Source organism: Homo sapiens, chromosome 14 (assembly GCF_000001405.40).
Source record: "Homo sapiens chromosome 14, GRCh38.p14 Primary Assembly".
In the NCBI taxonomy this organism is placed as follows: domain Eukaryota; kingdom Metazoa; phylum Chordata; class Mammalia; order Primates; family Hominidae; genus Homo; species Homo sapiens.
In genome coordinates this window covers 40,609,059-40,631,217 of record NC_000014.9, presented here as the reverse complement: position 1 = coordinate 40,631,217, position 22,159 = coordinate 40,609,059, and the positions used below count along the sequence as shown (strand labels likewise).

General features: G+C 36.0%; 1 long non-coding RNA gene across 2 annotated transcripts in view, besides 1 other annotated feature; it reads left to right on the top strand.

Moving 5' to 3' along the window:
- The first annotated feature begins 1,255 nt into the window (after positions 1-1,255).
- LOC105370466 (uncharacterized) overlaps positions 1,256-22,159 on the top strand; it is a 53,842-nt gene continuing 32,938 nt past the window's right edge. Inside the window, exons 1-2 of one of the 2 annotated variants that reach the window (XR_943792.3) lie at positions 1,256-1,898; positions 18,660-18,855. This is a non-coding gene — a long non-coding RNA (uncharacterized LOC105370466). The remainder of the gene's footprint in view (positions 1,899-18,659; positions 18,856-22,159) is intronic. The other variant, XR_943790.3, reaches the window with a different exon arrangement.
- Positions 1,808-2,008: a silencer, noted in NCBI's record as "peak2137 fragment used in MPRA reporter construct". NCBI's record gives its function as "represses an SCP1 promoter by STARR-seq MPRAs in K562 erythroleukemia cells {active_cell/tissue: K562}" and the evidence as "EXISTENCE:reporter gene assay evidence [ECO:0000049][PMID:32103011]".

Below are 22,159 nucleotides of genomic sequence, written 5' to 3'. Positions count from 1 at the left end.
AACACTTCTATATGTTTTGAGGACTGTAGATACAACAGAATAATATAACTATCTTGAACTATGAATAGCAAATGTATTCTTCAGGCCCAGCAATAAAGTTTTATTAATTTTTTTTGCATTTTCCCAAATTCATTTTTACTTTAGTCCTATGGCCATTTCACGACCTCACACAATAGTCCTGCATTTGCAACTGCAATGCCCTCATAACTAGCCTCTTGCTTACATACTTTTAGCACTGTCATGAGATGATCATACAGTGCTGTCTACTGCGGACTAATTCAAAAACTCCCCAGTCCCTACAAAATAAAATTTACTTTGTCTTGCACTCGATGTCATGATCCATAAAATCTAGACTCACATCTATTTTTATATATTTTTAAGTCTTCCTACAGATTGTCTAAACTTGACAAAACTAGTTAGATATCTATTGTAGTCACTTATTAAATACATGTTGAGTGACTGATTTTTTTATGTCTTGGGGGCATAAATTCCATGCATTTCACTGACAAGAAATACCCTCACAATCTCCTACCTCCTTTCCCAATCCTCTTATCACACACATGCATTTAAATCTCTTGGTGGAATTTATGACTTCTTCATGATCCCATTTAGATAATATCTCCATAATCAACACAGGCTGAAGTGTACTCTCTTTTTTTCTAAGTCATTTCTTGCACCTCGGCCCTTGCCCTTAACCTACTTTCTTTGTGCTGCTTTTTGTTTCTGTATGCTAGTTTCTGCTCTAGTGGATCAAGTTCATGAAGCAAGATAGTCACAGCCATTTTAATTTCCTCAAACTTACATACAAATTAATTACCTGATAAAGGAGGCCAGTATTCAAACATACTGCCAGTAAAAGAGGATAAAGCCACTACTACAAAATAAATTGAGAGGAATGGGGTAAATAGACTTTTTGGTATGTTTTAAGACTTTGAATATGTAGAGCAAGCAGATTACACTCAATTAAAAGGTACATTTAATCACTTGCCTTCACTCATTCTGAGTAAATAGTTCTGAGAGGTGACAGCGTGCTGGCAGTCCTCACAGCCCTCGCTCGCTCTGGGCGCCTCCTCTGCCTGGGCTCCCACTTTGGCGGCACTTGAGGAGCCCTTCAGCCCACCGCTGCACTGAGGGAGCCCCTTTCTGGGCTGCCCAAGGCCAGAGCCGCTTCTCTCAGCTTGCAGGGAAGTGTGGTGGGAGAAGCGGGAGCGGGAACCCGGGCTGCGCGCGGCGCTTGCGGGCCAGCTGGAGTTCCGGGTGGGCGTGGTTTTGGCACGCAGCGTACTGGGAGCAGCCGGCCCGCTCTGCCGCCCCGGCAATGAGGGGCTTAGCATCCGGGCCAGCGGCTGTGGTGAGTGTACTGGGTCCCGCAGCAGTGCTAGCCCACCGTGGCTGCGCTGGATTTCTCACCCGGCCTTAGCTGCCTTCCCGCGGGGCAGGGCTCGGGCCTGCAGCCCGCCATGCCTGAGCCTCCCACCCCCTCCATGGGCTCCTGTGCGGCCCGAGCCTCCCCGACGAGCGCCACCCCCTGCTCCACGGCGCCCAGTCCCATCGACCACCCAAGGGCTGAGGAGTGCGGGCACACGGCACCGGGACTGGCAGGCACGTCCGCCTGCAGCCCCGTGCGGGATCCACTGGGTGAAGCCTGCTGGGCTCCTGAGTCTGGTGGGGACGTGGAGAACCTTTATGTTAACCTTTATGTTAACATGAACCTTTATGACACTGACCTTGCCAACTGTGTGGGACCTGGTTGAGGCCTCTTGCCACCAGCTATCTCCAACTTTCCTGGCCAACTATATAATACAGTAGAGGCAACGAAAATCCCCTCTAGAACATAACCTCATTGTCCTGAGAACCACCACCATCCACCACAATGGCTGCAGCAAGCCCCGCCCAAGGTGAGTCTGAGCCAAGACCAGTCTAACTCTGCCCCTACCTGTTTGTATTTCTCTACCCACGCTGGCAGTGTGGGTACACAAAAGATACATAAAAGATAGAAACACAAAAGACAGAAATTCTTGGGAGCTTTATGGCCCTGCCCATAGCCTGAGGAACAAAAATACACTGGCCAACTTAGCACAAGCTTAGATCCCCCTACTACTATCACAACTGGTGCTCTCTTGAAACCACCACCACCTCATTGTTGGCCAACCAACTCAAGCCATTACAGTAACTTATGACAGAATAACCCTGATCCCAGGAAGGAGAAAACAACAGCTAATTCCCCTGCCTGGCTAACCAGAGGTCCTGAGTGCCTCCACGTGACAACTTCACTGCTAGCATAACCAGCATTCCAGAAAGCCATCACAGTAAACAAAACTACAAGCAAGGGCTCTCTCAGACTTTACTTCACTACTCTGCCACCTCCACCAAAGCAGGTGCTGGTATCCACAGGTGGGAGACCTGAAGACAGATTGCATCACAGGACTCTTTGCAAACATTCCCCAGCACAAGCCTGGAGCCTAGTAGCTCCACTGGGTAGCTAGACCCAGAAGAGCAATAACAAATCACTGCAGTCTGGCTCACAGAAGTCCCAACCCTAGGGAAAGGGGAAGAGCACCACATCAAGGGATCACCTAGTAGGAAAAAATAATATTTCTTGTAATTCTAAAGGCTGAGAAATGCAAGATTAATGCACTGGCAGATTCAGTGTCTTATGAGGGCCCACTTCTTCATTAACTGCCAGCTTATCACTCTAACCTCACATGGTGGAAGGGGTGAGGGATCTCTCTTGGGCTTGTATTAAAACTACCCTAATCTCATTCAAGAGCGCTAAGCTCTCAAAACCCAATCACCTCCTAAAGATTTCACCTCCTGCTACCATTAGGAGCAGTTTCATTTCATTTCAATGTGTGAAATGAAATGAGTTAGGAGTTAACATTTCAATGTGTGAATTTGGGAGGACACAAACATTTAAATCATAGCAATGGTGTAAATACAATTATACAAGCAGATACTGTCTTGCCACATACTAGATGGATATTTTAAAGAAAAAATATAACTATGAATAGTATGATTATAGTTATAGTTTAATAATTGCAGTTATTTGAATAATTAATATAGTTTAATAATTTGGAGTTATATTGAATAATAATTGTTGAATAGTTTAATAACAAATAGTTATTTGAATCAAAGTAATTCTCCTGCATTTCAACTTCCCTGTACTCTGCCTGATGGGATTCTACTTAACTACCAAACCAAGATTTCCAAACTTCCAAAAATGTCAGTCAAAGTGAACAAAGGGAGACATTGCAATTTAATTAATATATTTTTAAGAAGGTAATTCTATAATTGGCATTAGCATCATTAGTACATCACTTAATCCACCCCTTGGCTATTGCCATACAGCTGGTAAATGAAGCAATTTATCTGTTTTCATTGATTAAATAAAATTATTTCTAGATATCATGTCGAATATGGAGAGATAAAACTAAAATAAAATGGGTATTAGAATTTCATTTAAAAATGGAATTAAACTACATAGAAATTGCTTTAAGTTACACCCTCATATTTTCTATTGTATCACTTTTTTCTCATTAAAAGGATGAATACATGAAGAAGCTTAATTCTTGTCCACAGGATTAACAGATCCCCAGTGTGCCATAAATTTGTAATGTCCCTTAGTGTTGGATTTGCATTTATAAGTGTGAGCCAAGATGTGAAATATCACACATAGGCAGAGAGCTCTCTATAGACAAAGACATCTGAACAGGTGACTATGTATCATCTCTTCTGGCAAGTACATGAACAACCTTACACCACTGGAGTATAGCATAACTACTTTAATTTTCAATGGGAGTACAGTACATGCATAAATGATGTGAAGAACTAAAACCTCTCTTCTGAGAAATAAAACATTTTTGATATAATTCAACAGGTGCATTAGACACTACTCTCGTTACAGTCTTTTAGGTCACCAAAGTCACCAATTAACCAATTAATTTTTTTTTTTTTTGGGGGGATGGAGTCTCGCTTCTTCACCTAGGCTGAAGTACAATGGCGCAGTCTCGGCTCACTGCAACCTCCACCTCCTGGGTTCAAGCGGTTCTCCTGCCTCAGCCTCCTGAGTAACTGGGACTACAGGCGTGCACCACCACGCCCAGCTAATTTTTAAATTTTTTAGTAGAGACAGGGTTTCACCATACTGGCCAGGCTGGTCTCAAACTCCTGACCTCGTGACCCGCCTGCCTTGGCCTCCCAAAGTGCTGGGATTACAGGCATGAGACACCGTGCCCAATTAACTTTTTTCCAGCTGAAATGTAATAACTTTAGAAGTTTTGTCCACCCTCTGCTTTTAAGCCTACTCTCCCAACATAAAGTTGTAGTATCACTTTATGTTGTAAAGTATCTTGTCTTGGTTTACTAAACTACTGAGCAGTTTTTTAAAGAGTAAGCTTAATTTAAAAATTCTAGGAAATTATAATACAGGCACTTCATAAAACAATTTGTTCAATAAAAAACAATAGTAATAACTTGATACATTTGGAATTTTTTTAAAATATTTGGCTATTAAGCAACTTTTATAACGATCAAGCAACTAAGAAAAAAAAACCTTTACGGTGATAGTACATTCCTCAGGGTACAGATTATTTTGATGAACCCAAAGTTTATTTAAACATCAAAATTGCACTTATTACTCCTCATGGTATTGTCTAAAGCAAGTTGAAAATACTTTTTTCATTCTCAGAAATTTTTAAAGACAGATTTTGATATAAATCACAAAACAATTATAAAAGAATTGACTAAAAAAACAGCCATTTTATATTTAGAATAAGAAATGGTAAATTATTCAACAACGTGGAAGTTTCTTAGAATCATTTTGAAGTAAATTATTTTTCCCACAATTAGATTGATCTGGGATGAAAGACAATATTGAGAATAATGCCATAATTTAAGGAAAATTTTCAGGCATAGGGTAAGGCATAAAAGATATCTTGTGGGCAAAAATCACATATCAAATAACAAAAAAGTTACATAAATTTGAAGAGAATAAAGATGTGAACTTAAAATATAGGCATTGGCAAGCAAGTAAAACTTTCCAGACTCTTAAAATAAGAAGTGAGAATCTTTTCTTATAAATTATTTCCCAGGAACAAATATTGAAACTGAATGAGTAGTCACATAATTATGTAATTAGACCCCAAATAGCCACTACTTTGCAAGTGGCCAACAGAATCATAATGAGCTGCAATATGTGTTATGCAAACTAAACCCTGTTAAAGAATTGGGTTTGAAGAAGAATTGAAGACTCAAGGATACCATATACTTATGAGGTGCAATAATAATAATAATAATAATAATAATCCAGTTCTCTTTTTTTACTCTTGGGTCAAAAACAATCATTTTTTCACCTGTAACATGAAATCAAATTTCAATGAATCTAAATGTATAATCAAGCATCTCCAGGAATTTTGGGTATTATGATGAAGATTAACTTGGATAAATGAGCTCGAAAATTTATTTTGGCTCCATTCTTTAAAAACTATGAAGACTGTATGAACAGGGCTATAGGAAGCCACTCTAAATGTTAAACATCTACTCTGCACCACTGTATCAATTGAATAATGTTATGTATTCAAATGTATGGCAGCCAGATTGATTTTTCCAGTGAAATATAAACCTTCAGCCTGTACTTGTAGTAATTATAAGGGAGGGAAAATAATAAACGTGTGATTTTAAATTAAAAACCCCAATGTAACACTATGAATTACTAACCACACTAGTAATCACCACAGTGATGATAATAGTGGCAGGAGACAGCCAAATGCCTAGGCAGATAGGGCCGGGTCCCTGTGAAACCCCACTTCCAAGCCAGACAGTTTAAAGCTCAAAAGCCAAGCTACAGGTTAAATCCTCTGACCAGATTAAGAACTTGTTTACCTGTTTGACATGGTTTCCTGACTGATCACACCCTTCACCTATTTTATATATACCTACCCTTTCCTAATAGGTTTTCTACACTGTTCTGGCCACCTTTGAGTGGTGTCTTCACTTTAACCTTTTTTGCGTACTCACAAACCACTTAGCACACATTCACCATTCTGAGTCCATAAAAGGCCCTGTACCTGGCCACATGGGGTGCTTTCCTGCCTTCAGTTAGGGGGACCACTCCTGCATCGTCTCTCTGCTGAAAGCTGTTTGATCACTCAATAAAATTCTTCTCTGCCCTCCTCACCCTTCAAGGTTCAGTGCATTCTCATTTTTCTTGTTCATGAGACAAGAACATGGGAAGCAGTGTGCAAGTCAGACTCAGCCTGTGCCGGCCAATTGGGCAGGACACCTCCTGTGGCAGGTAGCATGCCCCAAGCAAGGCAGAGGTCCCCACTGGCAAAGGGACTGAGAAAAATCCTGCATCATTGATGTTTGTTGAACATTAGAAATATTTGAGAGAAGTAGCCAGAAAATATTTTATTAATTAACAAAATATACCATTCTTAATTCCATAAAAATACAATGATTTGCATCCAAACTAAACTTATAGAAAATATGATCTTTGTCCTCATTACTTGGATGAAATCTAAATAAAAAATTACCTTTAGAAAGAAAGAAATAATTGCCAAATGTTCTTTAAAAGCCACAGAAAATGAGAAGTATTTAGAACAACTTCATAAGGCTGAATCACTGCAAATGACATGGATACATATTGTTTTTTTAAACACTCTGATCTATTTGTGAGAATAGGGGGATTGCTTATATAGGTTAATCCCCAGTGAATGTAACATTTGTTACTTTCAAAAAGAGAACTCAATAGGTACGCATCCTCCAAAATTCATGGTGACCATGTTCTGATTTGCTCAGGACATATCTAGCTTATGAGTTATCCTAAAGTAATTCTCATGATCTCCAAAGTGTTCTGGTTTGGACAATAAATTATATGGCCACCTTATCTATGATTCTTAATACAGCTGACGTATTCTTTTTTCTTTTCATTTTTAACAAACATTGTAAATTGCTGGTGTATGTAACAAATAAGAGTCAACGAAATGTTATTTTTGTCATTAAGTATTTAATTACTATGCCTCTATGTTGTAGAATTTTTGTCTAATGATTTTTTGTGGAAAAATATTTTCCATTATCAATAACTCATTTATTATTGTTTTCCTTTAAATATTTTTTTAAACTCCACACAATCTTAATATGCAGAATAAGCAGCTACTTTAGGGTTAAAGTGCATATAGACAGGCAGAATCATCTATGTTAGAGGACTGGAGCACTGCTAACCATGTTTCATCCTGGGGTGTTTAAATGAACCTTGGAGCTCTCAAGCCCTAATTTGAATTTCAATGTGCCCATATATCCTAAGTTCAGAGTTATTTATACAAGATTGCTTATGGCAGACGTCCAAAGTCATATAGCTGTGGATTTTCCTCTTGTCAAATCCGATGTAGTGGCTGTAGCTTGTATTTGCATTTCTCCTGAAGTCAGCCACCATATCTCTGCAGAAAATAGAGTTAATGACTAATAATTTGGCACATTTTTTTATAGACCAGTAGAGAAATGACAGGGCCCAAATTACTCATGGAGGATAGTTCTAATGTTGCTACCTTTCAGACTGCATCAGTAGATCTAAATATAGTTTGAACCTTCTACTTAAATATGATAAATTATTAAGCTCTGATTTGTGATGAAGTGCAAGTCAAGAAAAAAGCATGAGGTAGTACTTTAGTAGATCATACACCTGCCATAAAATGCTGCATCATTCATTGTTCTCCTTAATATTTGTCATAATGTTCTCTGTGTTTTTGTACTATAATATGAATTTTTCCTGTCTAGAGATAGTCAATTTACCCACTCTCACATTATGGAGTCGGCTTGCTGGTTCAAAGAATGTTTGATGAAATTTCAGAAAGAAAGTGATTAATATTCAGAAAAATAGGAAAGTTATGTTAGTTATAAACCGGAAATGGGGCAAAATGACTTGGATGGAAAAGCCAACAGGAGTAAACTCAAGGAGAAAGGTGAATCACATAGAACCAAGGACATCAGAAAACACTGAGAGAAAAATTGCCAAATACACTTTTTTAAAAGTCAGTAATTAAGATGATTTTAGGGTTGTTTGTAATCTTTACAATCTTAAAGAGGAGGAGAAGCAGATAATGAATGAGTTAGTGTCTGCATTCAGGAAGTTCATTTAACATCAGTGGGCTTATGGTTCATGGTTCCTCTATGGATTTAGGTGAACTAACAACCTATAGGTGAACAATTAATTTCATATAGTTATTTGAACTCTTTCTTTTTTGATTTATTTATTCTTAATAGTAGGTTGTTTTTGTTTTTTTTTAATTGAGATGGAGTCTCACTCTGTCACCCAGGCTATAGTGTAGTGATGGCATTTCGGTTCATTACAACCTCCGCCTCCCAAGGTCAAGCGATTCTCCTGCCTCAGCCTCCCGAGTAGCTGGGATTACAGGAGCCTGCAACCATGCCTTGGTAATTTTTGTATTTTTTAGTAGAGATGGGGTTTCACAATGTTGGCCAGGCTGGTCTCAAACTCTTGACCTCAAGTAATCCGCCACCTTGGCCTCCCAAATTGCTGGGATTACAGACATGAGCCACTGCGCATGGCCTCAAAGGCTCTTTGGAAACAGATAAATAAAAGATGCTAATAGAATAGATGGAAAGGGTACAAAGATTTGGGTAAAATGATAAAGGCACACAGAGCGATAAGAAAATGGTCAATGTGCTTTGGGCAAAATTTTGTTTTACATGTTATACTGTTATGCAATTATAAACATTGAGGTAAGTAACAGAGAAATGCAATACTATCTGGTGCAAGAAACAGTGAAGAAGTTCTGTATAGAGGATGCAGCCAACATGCTGTTGTTACCTGACCTGTAGCTTCAGTAAAATTTAAGTGGTTAACGAGAGTTCTAAAAAGCAGCACAAACTAGAAGGAAATTGAGAATATGTGCCATAAATTGTCACGAAGTATTTATCAGACACTCTTTTTGAATTTAAGAGTAGGCAATTTGTAATTTCCCTCCTTTAATACTAACGACAAGCAGTAGAAAATGATTGGAAAGACTAACATAAGTTTATTTTGTATTAAGATGCTTTGGCCCTAACAGTTTAATGATGGTGTACCTTTCCATAGCTTTCTTTGATTTTACTTGCTTGGGCTTTGCTGGACATTTTGGATTAGTAGGCTGTTTCCTACCAATTTACAAACATTTTGAGCCATATTTTTTCACAGATTTTGTTGTGATGTAGTCTATCTCTTCTCTTCTGCTGGGACATTAAAGGAATAATAGCTGAAAAAAACATTACAAGCTCCGGAAGTATAGACTTCCAGGCTGCTGCCTACATAGCCATCCAAATAACAAGCAAAAAATATAATAACACTCATATGTGAGAAGAGAGATTTCTTTCTAGTTTTGAAAAAATGGGGTGTTTACAATTCACTTCTCAAAAAACTCCATTATAGTAAGAGTACATTTTCTGGAAAACAAAATGAGATAGTATTTAAAGATAATTTATAGTAGGATAAAAAAATAACTCAACAAATGCGCTAAAGAAGGCTACAGTGGTATTGGGAGAATTTATTCTTCTATGAACTCTGAGAGTATCAAAACCCAGAGTGGGTTAAGAGACAGAGTGGACTCTAAATCTATTAAATTTAAGAGTTGTGTATATTATTCTTTTGGCATTTAACCCATATACCAACGCTTGCACAATAGCATTTGTCAACTAAAGCCTGAGTTTTTTAAAGTAAAATGAATATTTGTCTTTGGAGAGTGTTCAGTGCTTTATTGAAGATGTGGCATGAAAGAAATAAGAGCCAGATTATTTCTCTTTGGTAATTTAAAATAAAAATATGGAATAGGGGAAGAAAAGGTAATTTTTATCTAGAAATGAAGAGCATTAAGGGACTTTGTGAGCAGAAAATAAGAAACCTTATTTAAAAAAATATCAGATCATAAATGGAAACATAATCTATGACAGCCGTTTATACACATTGAAAAACCTGTAAATGCGAATTAAGGCTATTCATCTATGTGAGAAAACCATTAAATACAAAGAGAAAGAAAATGCTTAAAAAAAATGAAAGTGACAACCTTAAAGGTTAAAGAAACAAAATACAAGAACTAGACATAAATAGAATTAAAAATTGAATTATTTTACTTAGATTCTAAAGGACATAGCCTACAAGCTCAAGAATAAGTTGTGATGAAACAGCCGCAGTGAGAAAACAAGTCTTAATTGTGAATAATAATATATTTACATATGGAGTTACAGGATATGTGAAGACAATCTTACCAAGACTATTTAGCCCAAGAAGGCTAATTTGTATATTAATATTCTAAATGGGTCAAAATCTGACCTACCAAGCATTGAATATTTTAAAATCAAAATTGTTTATAAAAACAAGACGATCAAGAAACCATCAATTTTCGTTTACCTACATTCTAATTTAGAAACACTGAGAGCTGTTTTCAGGAAATTAAATTATTTTTAAATGAAGATGGTAAAGTCCATTTTTTCGTGAAATCAAAGAAAGAAGAAAAATAAATATGTAGCTCTATTCATTAAAAAAGTAATGAGCAGACTACTTGAACCTGAGAAACACTAGAAGTAAAAAATTAATCTGCTTAATTAGGCGGGCAAAAGAATTGCAAAAGAAAAAAAAAAGGAAAATTGCAGCTGTTGCTTCTATGTGGTTTATAAAAGCATAACCTGGGAAATATTAACCTGATCATGGAGATGAGGAAGTTATAATGTTGCAAAAATCAGAGAAAAGTGTAGAAATTAATTAGATAAAGGAAGACAGAGCATTCCAGACAGAGGGAACAGCATACAGGGCACTGGAGGTGAGTTTGCATGTGTGAGGAACAAGGTGGAAAGGAAAAGGGTGGCCCGATCCTGCAAAGCTATACACAAGATATTAAGATTTGTCATTTCATCCTAGGAGCATTGCAGACTTTTCAGGTATTTCAGTCTGGGCTAAAGGGCATAGCAGTAGTGGCAGCAGCATGATCCTACTTATATTTTTCTTTTTTCTTTTTTTTTTTTTTTTGACAGTGTTGCTATCCCAGCTCATTGCAACCTCCACCTCCTGGGTTCAAGTGATTCCCCTGTCTCAGCCTTCTGAGTAGCTGGGACTACAAGCACGCGCCACCATGCCCAGCTAATTTTTTTTTTCTTGTATTTTAGTAGAGACGAGGTTTCACCATGTTGGCTAGGATGGTCTCAATCTCCTGACCTCATGATCCACCCGCCTCAGACTCCCAAAGTACTGGGATTGCAGGCGTGAGCCACCGTGCCTTGCCTTTTACTTATATTTCTAAAGCATCACTTTTCCTACTTTTAGAGCATTGTATTGAAGGTAGATAAGAACAAGGATGCTATTGAGTGCTAGGTAAAGGATTGGTCCTGGAGATGTGAATGCATGGCCATTTGAAGATCTAGCCATCTTTGACATACTCACTAGCTGTTCATGAAGGAGAAATCAGAGTCTTAGATATCTAAAGTGATATATAAAATGATTAGTCATACATAACTTAGTGTGAGTTACAAATGTGTCTACTTAAATTAATGAGAAAATGACAAAATAAAGTGCCAAGGAAGATGATCTGAAACATTCTTACACTTTTATCATTGTTGAACAACTGTTTTACTTGAGAGTCATTCTGAAGAATATTCAATTAGTTCTTCTTGTGTGATCAAATGTAATCCTTCCCTTTCCAGACCAAAAAAAATAAATAAATAAATAAAATCTCCCTATCTAGTAACTGTTTTCTGTAGCTTTGATAAAAGCTCAATTCTTGATCTGACATTCAGATTCATTAAATTCAAACTTTATTTACATAGCTTCTTCCTTTCAGTTAGGGAAGAGACATGTATTTTTAAATATTATCTTTGAGAGTGGGGATAATTTGGCTGGTGAAAGCTTTTTTGGCTTTTGGAAAAATCCTAATAGCAAATATAATGCTAACAATTACTATACAAAATGGGGAAAAACAAATAAAACCAAAAACCTATCAGGGAAAAATTAGTTCCAGAACTAATTTTGTAACAGAAATAATGTAATAAAACAACCTCCAAAAGTTTGAGGCTTAGATCTCATAAAAATATATTAATAACTTTTAGCAGAACAATCATGCTTTTTTTTAGAAAAAAATTAAAACAGCATGGTTGACCTCTTTAAACTCCTTTATCCAATTTACTGGCTGTATTTAGATTTTAGGCATGAAGATTATATGAGATTGAATTGTCCCCAAAACTTCAAAGGCTGAAAATGTTATAAGGTAATTCTGACATAATTTTCCCCATTTGTCCTTCTTTGTTCACTCTTCTTAGACAGTAGGCGGGCAAGCTACAGGGCAAGTTTGAATAATATGCCTAAGGACACATCCTCATTCTGTATCAGTATATTCCATGTTACTAACTCAATATCATCTGTAAGCAAATAACTAGTGACTATTTCCACAAGATACAGACAGCTGCTGAGACAGAGTCAGTTCTCTCTGGTTGCTGGCCTGTGCCCTTATCCTGCAGAGTGCTTGATGAACCACAGTCCATTGCTACTAGTGCCCCAGGTACCATCCTCCTGCATTAATGGTGATCTCTCCTACTGCTATGTACAAGCACAGCCAAAGAGTATTTGCTGTTCCTTTGGCAGCAGTAGACATTTCAACCTTTTAAAAATTTTATTTTGTGTTTTATTCATAGCAAGAAAGCTAGTTTGAAATCCTTAGGCGAGTTTAGGGGAAGGCCACCCTGTGGTTTGTGTGGAAGCCACAAGACTAAACGAAATCCAAAAGACTATTGAGCCTGAAGGACACATTGCAGTACATGGGCTCCTTCCTCTCATTGCTTCTTAAGTACTATCAGGCAGCATTTCTGGGCTCACGGCTCATGCAGCTTTCTAGAGGATGCTGATTAAGAGTATGTTTCATTCTGGTATCTGGATTTCATTGTCAGCCTTTCCTTCTCTATGTTCTGTGGATACATATTTTTCTCTGTACTTTAACATAAAGTCAAATTTATTCACATTTGAAGCATGTTTTTGCACACTACTTGCACCCTCTATTTTAAATCAGTTTAGTAACAAAAAAAGGTAGTTGTAACAACAAATTTCTGCTAGGCAAATTTACTTTCTGGGGGGAGAAACCATCTAACAGCAAACTTTTACTTTTATTACAAATACTCCATTTTTAATATTAAGCCTTTTTAGTGGCTTAATTTGCCTAACTTTAATTTTGTATTGAAATAAAAGATAAAGGTATTAATGGTAAATTTTTGAGTTGTGAAATTAGACACAAAAACAATTCACTATTTTTTCTTATTGTGTACTTTTCATTCAAAGTGACAAATGAAAAATATCTTTAATCTTAAAATCTCACCAGATAGAGGTTGGATTTCTCATTACTTGCTTAAAGAATGGTCTCATAATCAGCTAGGAAATAAATTATGCTATATAATTTTATAGAAGAAATCTAAGGCTCAAAATGGATACATACTTTTCCTGCTAATTACAAAGTAAAGTTGAATGTGAGCTGAGAAAATAATACATATAAATACTGTTCTCTTCCCCTAACCATCTTAGACTCTTCCCTTGACATCGGAAATAAATTGGTATTAAAGTAATCGTCTAAACTATACTGTATTACCTAATCATAAATTAGCCATGTAAGTACTTCTAGATTAAGTAGTTCTATGCCCCTTTTGGTGTGCTCTTAACATGCTTTAAAACTGAACTACAAGTAACCTCATGAAACATGTACACTTCAAAGCATTCACATATTTTTTTCATTGAATTGGTCAACAAGAAAGAATTAGCACAAAAACCCTCTTGCTGATTCATTAAAATGTGATTACTTTTGATGCTAATAAGCAATCAGATTCATTGGTGTACTTGTAAGTAAATTTGTAAGTAAATTAAATACTAGCGACAAAACAAGGGGCTGTAGCAATATAGCATCTTCTAAAAACCATGTCTAGAAAATGGTGGAAGTCTGAGAAAAATACTAACCAAGAACAAATTAATTGATTAATATATGTTCCCCTGAAAGATTTGTCTAATTTATGTGCATTTGTATAAAAATAAGATTGATTGGCAATATTTTAACAGAGAAATCAGATTTTTTTTTCTTTAATGACTCCTTCAGGATTCAATATGATATTAGTGGTGAACTGTCTACAATATCTTGTTTACATTCAAAATTAGTTTGTAACTAATGTCTCCAGGTAAATAAAATAAAAATAAGTAAACAGAGAACAAATGCTACCAAAAAAAGTTATAACACTGACTAATAACAGTCAGCATTATAAGCAAACGTATTTTTATTAAAATAAGACAATAATTATTTACGTAATTTTATTCACATTCTACATAAAAAAGTAAGTGTTCTCCAACACAGCTAGAAGGATGTAAAGTCTAATCTTCTCTAATTGATATGCATTTGGAATATTCCGAGAATTCTCTTCATCTCAGCTACAGTCCTCAACATGGTTTAAATATGCAGACATTAACATACATTTAAATAACACTAGTAAGGTCAGTTAAGAATAGTCTGAATATATAGGATGGTAAATTTGCATGTAAAATGTAGGAGAAAGCCCACATTAATGTATATTCTTTTCCATTCTCATTTCTTTTTTGATAGTACAAATCATTTCATCAGTATATTAAAAATAATCCATTAAACACCTGTAAGTCATCTCAGAATGGAAAAAGCAATGTGAATCTCTGAAGCTCATATGCATTATTCAAATACTATCTGGTTGCATGTGAAAATAAATAGGTAAACCTCTCTACTGTACTAGTCAGTTAAAATTTCTTTCACCTTTGATGATTTTCTTCTGAAACTGATTTCTACACAGGGCTGTAGGTTGTAGGGAAGTGGGTTGTAGTGAAGTAGGCTATCAACGAGACTAAAATAGAGGAATCTAGAATCTATAAGAATTATAATAATTACTAAGTCAATCTTCTCGCTCCAGAATTTGGATTAGAACATAATAAGAGAAATGGCAATTAGGCAAGAGAAGAAAGGAAAAATATGCTGTGTCACATAGCCACAGTGCTCATTAGAAATAGAAAATAGGAGAGTAATGTATCCTAATTGCCACCAGTCCAGGTCTAGTTAATGTCCAACTTAATAAACAATCACTTTGTTTCATTATTCTGTAATGTTTTAGTTTAACAAGATATATATGAGTCACTATGCTTAAAAAATAAAAGAGCACATGAAGCCTTCCTCTGGTTATCATTTTAAGTTTTCTTTTTTTTACAAATGTTTCTCTTGCCTAGAATATGCTTCCTTATTCATTCCAATTGGTATGTGTATCCCTCAGAAAAAAAATCTCAAACCTAATGAACTTACTGAGCCTTTACAGAATTTCCAAGGCAGGATTAAAGGATATTTTCCTTGGATTTTAACTACACTGTGTACAGAGCTTGATTATAACACTAACTGTGTTGTGCCAAGAGTGCCTAGAGTGGAGGACTCTGTTTTGTTTTCAGTTTTTGCCCATAACTAACATAACACTTGATATACATGAAATGTTAAATAAATATTGGTTGATACATGTCAAGATCAAATGTAGTCAGAACTAGAATATTATTTCTCTAGTAGAATGTTTTTAATTAAATAAGTTTTAAAAGCATGTACGTCTTAGGGCTGCTATAACAACACCACAGACTGGGTGGCTTATAAATAAGAAAATTTATTTTTAACAGTTACACATGCTGAAAGTCTGAGATCAGGATCCAGAATGATTGTGTTCTATTAAGGGCCCCCTTTGAAGTTAAAGAGTTCAATCTTCTCCTTGTATCTTCACATCAGAGAACGAGAGCAAGAGAGCTCCTTGAGATCTCTTTTATAAGGAATCTAAACCCATTCATGAGGGCTCCACTTTCATAACCTAATTATCTCCCAAAGATCCCACCTCCTAATACCCTCACACTGGGGGTTAGGATTTCAACAGATAAATTTGGGGGGACATGAGCATTCAGTCCATTGCAAAGTAATATGAGGAAAAATTTTTAAATCACAAATTTGTTTACTGAACTTTAATAAACTGTAGGTTAGAAAATGTTTATTATTTATTCTAAACACATTGTTTTGCCTTAGAAATCACATCAACTTCCAGCAAAACTTAGGTGAAATCAAATGTAAAAATGCTAAAATCCATATTAGATTTGACTGGAAACATTTTGAAATATAATATATTTAATCATCTGTAAAGATAACCTTAAAATGAGCAATCATGAAGGTATGAAATGAATAATTTTGACATCAATGTAACACTTAAGTCATCTAGGAGTGATATTAGTCTAGCCTCAACATCTTCACTGAGTAAGAAACATCACAGGAAAACATATGAAAATTTGAAAAATAAGGCTCTAATCCACTCAGAACTTTTGTGTCAGATACTCTTTATAGTTTAAACAGCCTCTTCTTATGCTATATATTCCTGCCTAGGCCACAATATTCACGTCCAGTCTGAGCTGTTCATTGGGCAATGTCTGATACATTCTACTCTCACTAAACCTCTCTCTTTAAATCACTGCACCACATACAGACATACAGTTTTAGGTGTGCCGATTTGATACTTTTTTGGTGGAATACTCTGTGGAGCCTATAGAATGTCATTTAAAAAAACTCTTATTAATATATTTTGTAAAATATCAAGAGCAAAAGGACATGCTAATGAAGTGCTGGTGCTATACTACTACTAAAAATACAGAGAAGGTTTAGAAGAGAGATTGAGGTGAAAGTCAGTCAATTATTGTGATATTGTATCTTTCCTTTTCAATTAGCATCAAAACATATACAAAAATTTAACTAGTAAAGAAAAGTAGCAATCTAGAGAAGGTGATATAATCTCTCACCTTTTTTAATGTGGACATACTAAATTTGTTAGTAGAAACCATTTCCCAATGAAAAACTTTCTTTCTGGTTTCAATTATTGTCTTGGCCAATTCAATACAAATTCAGTAGTATTTGTTGAACATAGTTTCTGAAATGTTCCTCAAAAGCAAAGGGAAAGTGGCAGGGTCATCGGGCTTTTGTCTCTTCCACTGCCCTTCTCTTTCGCCTGCATAAAGTACATGCAATTTTGGAATCTCCATAGAATCAAGAGACAACTTAAAAAGGGAGTCTATACACTGAATATGGCAGAGCAGGAAGATAGCAAGAGACTATATCTCGCTGATAATTTCTTAGAAGAGCTACAATAGTAGATTTCTAACTCCATCTTTTTTAACTTTGAAGAAAAATCAACCTGTAATATGTTTAAACCCCTATTTTCTGATCACCATGAATGTAATTCCTAATCAATTTAAAAAGTACACTTACTCTAACCTAGATAATGGAAAAAAACAGAACATTTGAATTTCTCCCCCTCCCCCCCTTATAACTTTCCTTGGATGGTGATACATTGTTAAATATCTTTGCTAAGGTCAACCTAGACGTCAGATTCATTGGATGAATATAGGAGAGAAAACAAAGCTCACCAGCAGGGCAGAGTCACACATTTGTCTTCAACTGGAATAGTTCTTGCAACAGTCTACAGAGCTGTCCAGGAATGATTCTCTTTGCCCCTTATATTAGTCCATTCTCACACTGCTATAAAGAATTTCCCTGAGACTGGATAATTTATAAATAAAAGAGGTTTAGTTGACTCACAGTTCCACATGTCTGGGGAGGCCTCAGGAAACTTACAATCATGGCAGAAGGTGAAGGGGAAGCAAACTTGGATCTTTTCACATGCCTGCAGGAGAGAGAGAAGAGTGTAACACAGAGCAGGGGAAACTGCCTTATAAAACCATCAGGTCTTGTGGGAACTCACTGACTATCACGAGAACAGAATGGGGGAAACCACCACCGGGATTCAATCACTTCCCACCAGGCCTCTCTCTCAACACCTGGGGATTACAATTCAAGATGAGATTTGGGTGGAGACCCAGAACCTAACCATATCACCCCTTCAAGTGATGGTCTCAGAAGCAATGAAATAAAATTTTTCAGGTGGGGCACAGGAATAGTATGAAGTCTTATGATCCTCAGGAGTGAATGTCTCTTGTGAAAATTCCATAGACAGTTTCCATATCCCTGAACAGGACATACCAGTGACAAAAATCACCAGATTCAGGGAAGCCCAAAAATATGTTCTACCCAGCATTTTTATTTTTCCTAGGCAGATGCAGACTCCCACATTTGGGCCATTTTTACAGTAACTCTATAGTGTAATAACATAGTTAACCTCTTATTTTTATCCAGTTTCCAGGAACAAAATATCTAAAGTAAATACTCAGAAAGAATATAAAAATGTTTTAATGTTTCACCCATAAGATGCTGTGGCAGAAAATGATAACCTGATTTTAAATTGAGGAGATCATTAAATACTAATATCAGGAGGCTTCCATTTATTCATTATATTCTGTAGATCCATGGAAAATTAAACTTTATGTCCTTAAAAGAGAAAAGAATACTGAATCACTCAATAAATACAAGTCTAACCTAGTACAGAACTTTCTTGGACTTCAAGATCTAGAATTTAACTAGTAAATACAATTTTCACATACAAATAATATCATTTTCACATACAAATTTACAAGTGTTTGATCTTAAGCCTCTGTCAACTACAACTGAACTAATTTACTTACTAAGCCAAATAAAAAGTTAACTTAAAAAAACCCTATATTTATTTCATAGATATTTTCTAAAGATGGAAAGACACATTCTGCCATATAGCTACTATTTGCTTCCACATCTGTTATCTGCTCGTCTCCCCTCAACTCCGTATCTCAAGAGACTGACCTGCTTGGATTGCGTCAAGGGCTCTGGCTTAGGACAGACCTCAGCTAACTATGGGACTTGGCAGGAGATCCAGCAGCAGGAGGAAAGTGAGGTAAGGGTATGTGTTTCTTTGGCTCCCTTCCTGAGGAGCAGCCATAGTATAATTGTGTGCCTTGATTGAAGGTCACTGATTCTCTCAGGGTGTTCCTTTGTATATAATTCTGCATTGATTTTCAGGAACCACCCCCACTTCTCATTCCTTCCACACTCAGGTTGTTACAGTTCCACCATTATAAATACAACGATGTGGAACTATCCCTAGCAGTTTCCCTATGCTGTGTCTATGTCTTGGTACCATAGCTCTTTTATTAAATCTTCATCTAATTTTTCTTTGTTGAAAGTGCCTGGTTCTTGCTTGAACCTTGGCCAATACACAGGATAATAGAAATCCTCTGCACAATTGCTTTCGTTCTTTACATGATAGTACTTTATTGTTGATGGGATCTTGTAAAAATCATCCTTTCTTAATTGATAAAGGAGAAAAACCCTCACCATATTTTACATGAGTTATCCCTCTAATAATAGGAGGTTTTTCCCTAGATAGTGGAAGATCATTTTCTACTCATTTCCTAGTTCAAATTATAATAACATCAAATTTCAAAATATGTCATCTGGCTTTCAGGGAAAAATAGACTATTGAGAAATCCTAAGAATCTAATTAAACGAAAGTAGTAAGTTCATTTGCTTTTTATTATAAATGAAAACATAAGTTTAATGAATAATTACATTTCCCAAATACTGAAGGATGAGATAGTGAAACTAAAATGATTGAATGTTTCAATATTCAATCATTTCAGGCTCCAGCTAATCTTTAATATAGCAAAAATACAAATACATGTTTACACCATGCAAATATATTAAATAGTATAAAATGCAATTATAGTGAATTACTGGAGTTTATTTCATTATTAAAATATATCAATTTTATTTTTGTCATGGAACTTTATTTTCTGTTCTATATTCTTAAAAATTCTCTAGCTTAAAATTTAACAAGGGTTTTTGTTTGCTTTTCAAGTTTTTAAAAAATATTGGCTTACTTTTTATGGCTTTCAATTATATGCTTAGATTTAAATGATTATTTTATTACCTCTGGTAGTAGCTATACATTTTTAGTTTTAATCAGTTTTTTTAATCTCTTTATATATTATTTTTGCTTGGGTTTCATTAATTCCTTTAATGAAAAAATTGAGTGCTTCGTAATAACAAAGGGCATTCTGGAAATAACAGAACACCACAAAGATACTCTTCGAAAAGAGCAACCCCAAGACACATAATCGTTAGATTCACCAAGGTTGAAATGAAGGAAACAATGTTAAGGGCAGCCAGAAAGAAAGGTCAGGTTACCCACAAAGGGAACCTCATCAGACTAATAGCAGATGTCTCTGCAGAAACCCTACAAGCCAGAAGACAGTGGGGGACAATATTCAACATTCTTAAAGAAAAGAATTTTTGACCCAGAATTTCATATCCAGCCAAACTAACCTTCATAAGCAAAGGAGACATAAAATCCTTTACAGACAAGCAAATGCTGAGAGATTTTGTCACCACCAGGACTGCCTTACAAGAGCTCTGGAAGGAAGCACTAAATATGGAAAGGAAACACTGGTACCAGCCACTGCAAATCATACCAAATTGTAAAGACCATTGACACTATGAAGAAACTGTATCAACTAACAGGCAAAATAACCAGCTAGCATCATAATGACAGGATCAAATTCAAGCATGACAATATTAACCTTAAATGTAAAGGGGCTAAAATCCCCAATTAACAGATGCAGACTGGCAAATTGGATAAAGAGTCAAGACCTATTGGTGTGCTGTATTCAGGAGACCTATCTCAAGAGGAAAGACAAACATAGGCTCAAAATAAAGGGATGGAGGAATATTTACCAACCAAACAGAAAGCCAAAAAAAAAAAAAAAAAAACAGGGGTTGCAATCCTAGTCTCTGATAAAACAGACTTTAAACCAACAAAGATCAGAGAAGACAATGAGAAGCATTACATAATGGTAAAGGGATCAATGCAACAAGAAAAGCTAACTATCCTAAATAAACATGCACCAATACAGGAGCACCCGAATTCATCAAACATGTTCTTAGAGACCTACAAAGAGACTTAGACTCCCACACAATAATAGTGGGAGACTTTAACACCCCACTGTCAATATTAGGCAGATCAGTGAGACAGAAATTTAATAAGGATATTCAGGCTTGAACTCAACTCTGGACCAAGCAGACCTAATAGACATCTACAGAACTCTCCACCCCAAATCAACAGAATATACATTCTTCTCAGCACCACATTGCACTTATTTTAAAACTGACCACATAATTGGAAGTAAAATACTCCTCAGCAAATGTAAAAGAACAGAAATCACAACAATCTGTCTCTCAGACCACAGTGCAATCAAATCAGAACTCAGGATTAAGAAACTCACTCAAAAGTGCACAATTACATGGAAACTGAACAACCTGCTCCTGAATGACTGCTGGGTACATAATGAAATGAAGGCAGAAATAAATAAGTTCTTTGAAACCAATGAGAACAAAGACACAACATACCAGAATCTCTGGGACACATTTAAAGCAGTGTTTAGAGGGAACTTTATAGCACTAAATGCCCACAGGAGAAAGCAGGAAAGATCTCAAACTGACATCCTAACATCACAATTGAAAGAACTAGAGAAGCAAGAGCAAATAAATTCAAAAGCTAGCAGAAGACAAGAAATAACCAAGATCAGAGCAGAAATGAAGGAGATAGAGACAGGAAAAACCTTTCAAAAATTAATGAATCCAGGACCTAGTGTTTTTAAAAGATTAACAAAATAGATAGACCACTAGCCAGAGTAATAAAGAAGAAAAGAGAAGAATCAAACAGAAACAGTAAAAAATGATGAAAGGGATATCACCACTGATGCCACAGAAATACAAACTACCATCAGAGAATACTATAAACACAACTACACAAATGAACTGGAAAATCTAGAAGAAATGGATAAATTCCTGGACACATACACCCTCCCAAGACTAAACCAAAAAGAATTCGAATCCCTGAATAGACCAATAACACGTTCTGAAATTGAGGCAGTAATTAATATCCTACCAGCCAAAAAAAGCCCAGGACCAGATAGATTCACAGCCAAATTCTACCAGAGGTACAAAGAGGAGCTGGCACCATTCCTTCTGAAACTATTCCAAACAATAGAAAAAGAAAGACTACTCCATAACTCATTTTATGAGGCCAGCATGATCCTGATACCAAAACCAGGCAAAGACACAACAACAAAAAAGAAAATTTCAGGCCAATATCCCTGATGAACATTGATGTGAAAATCCTCAGTAGAATACTGGCAAAC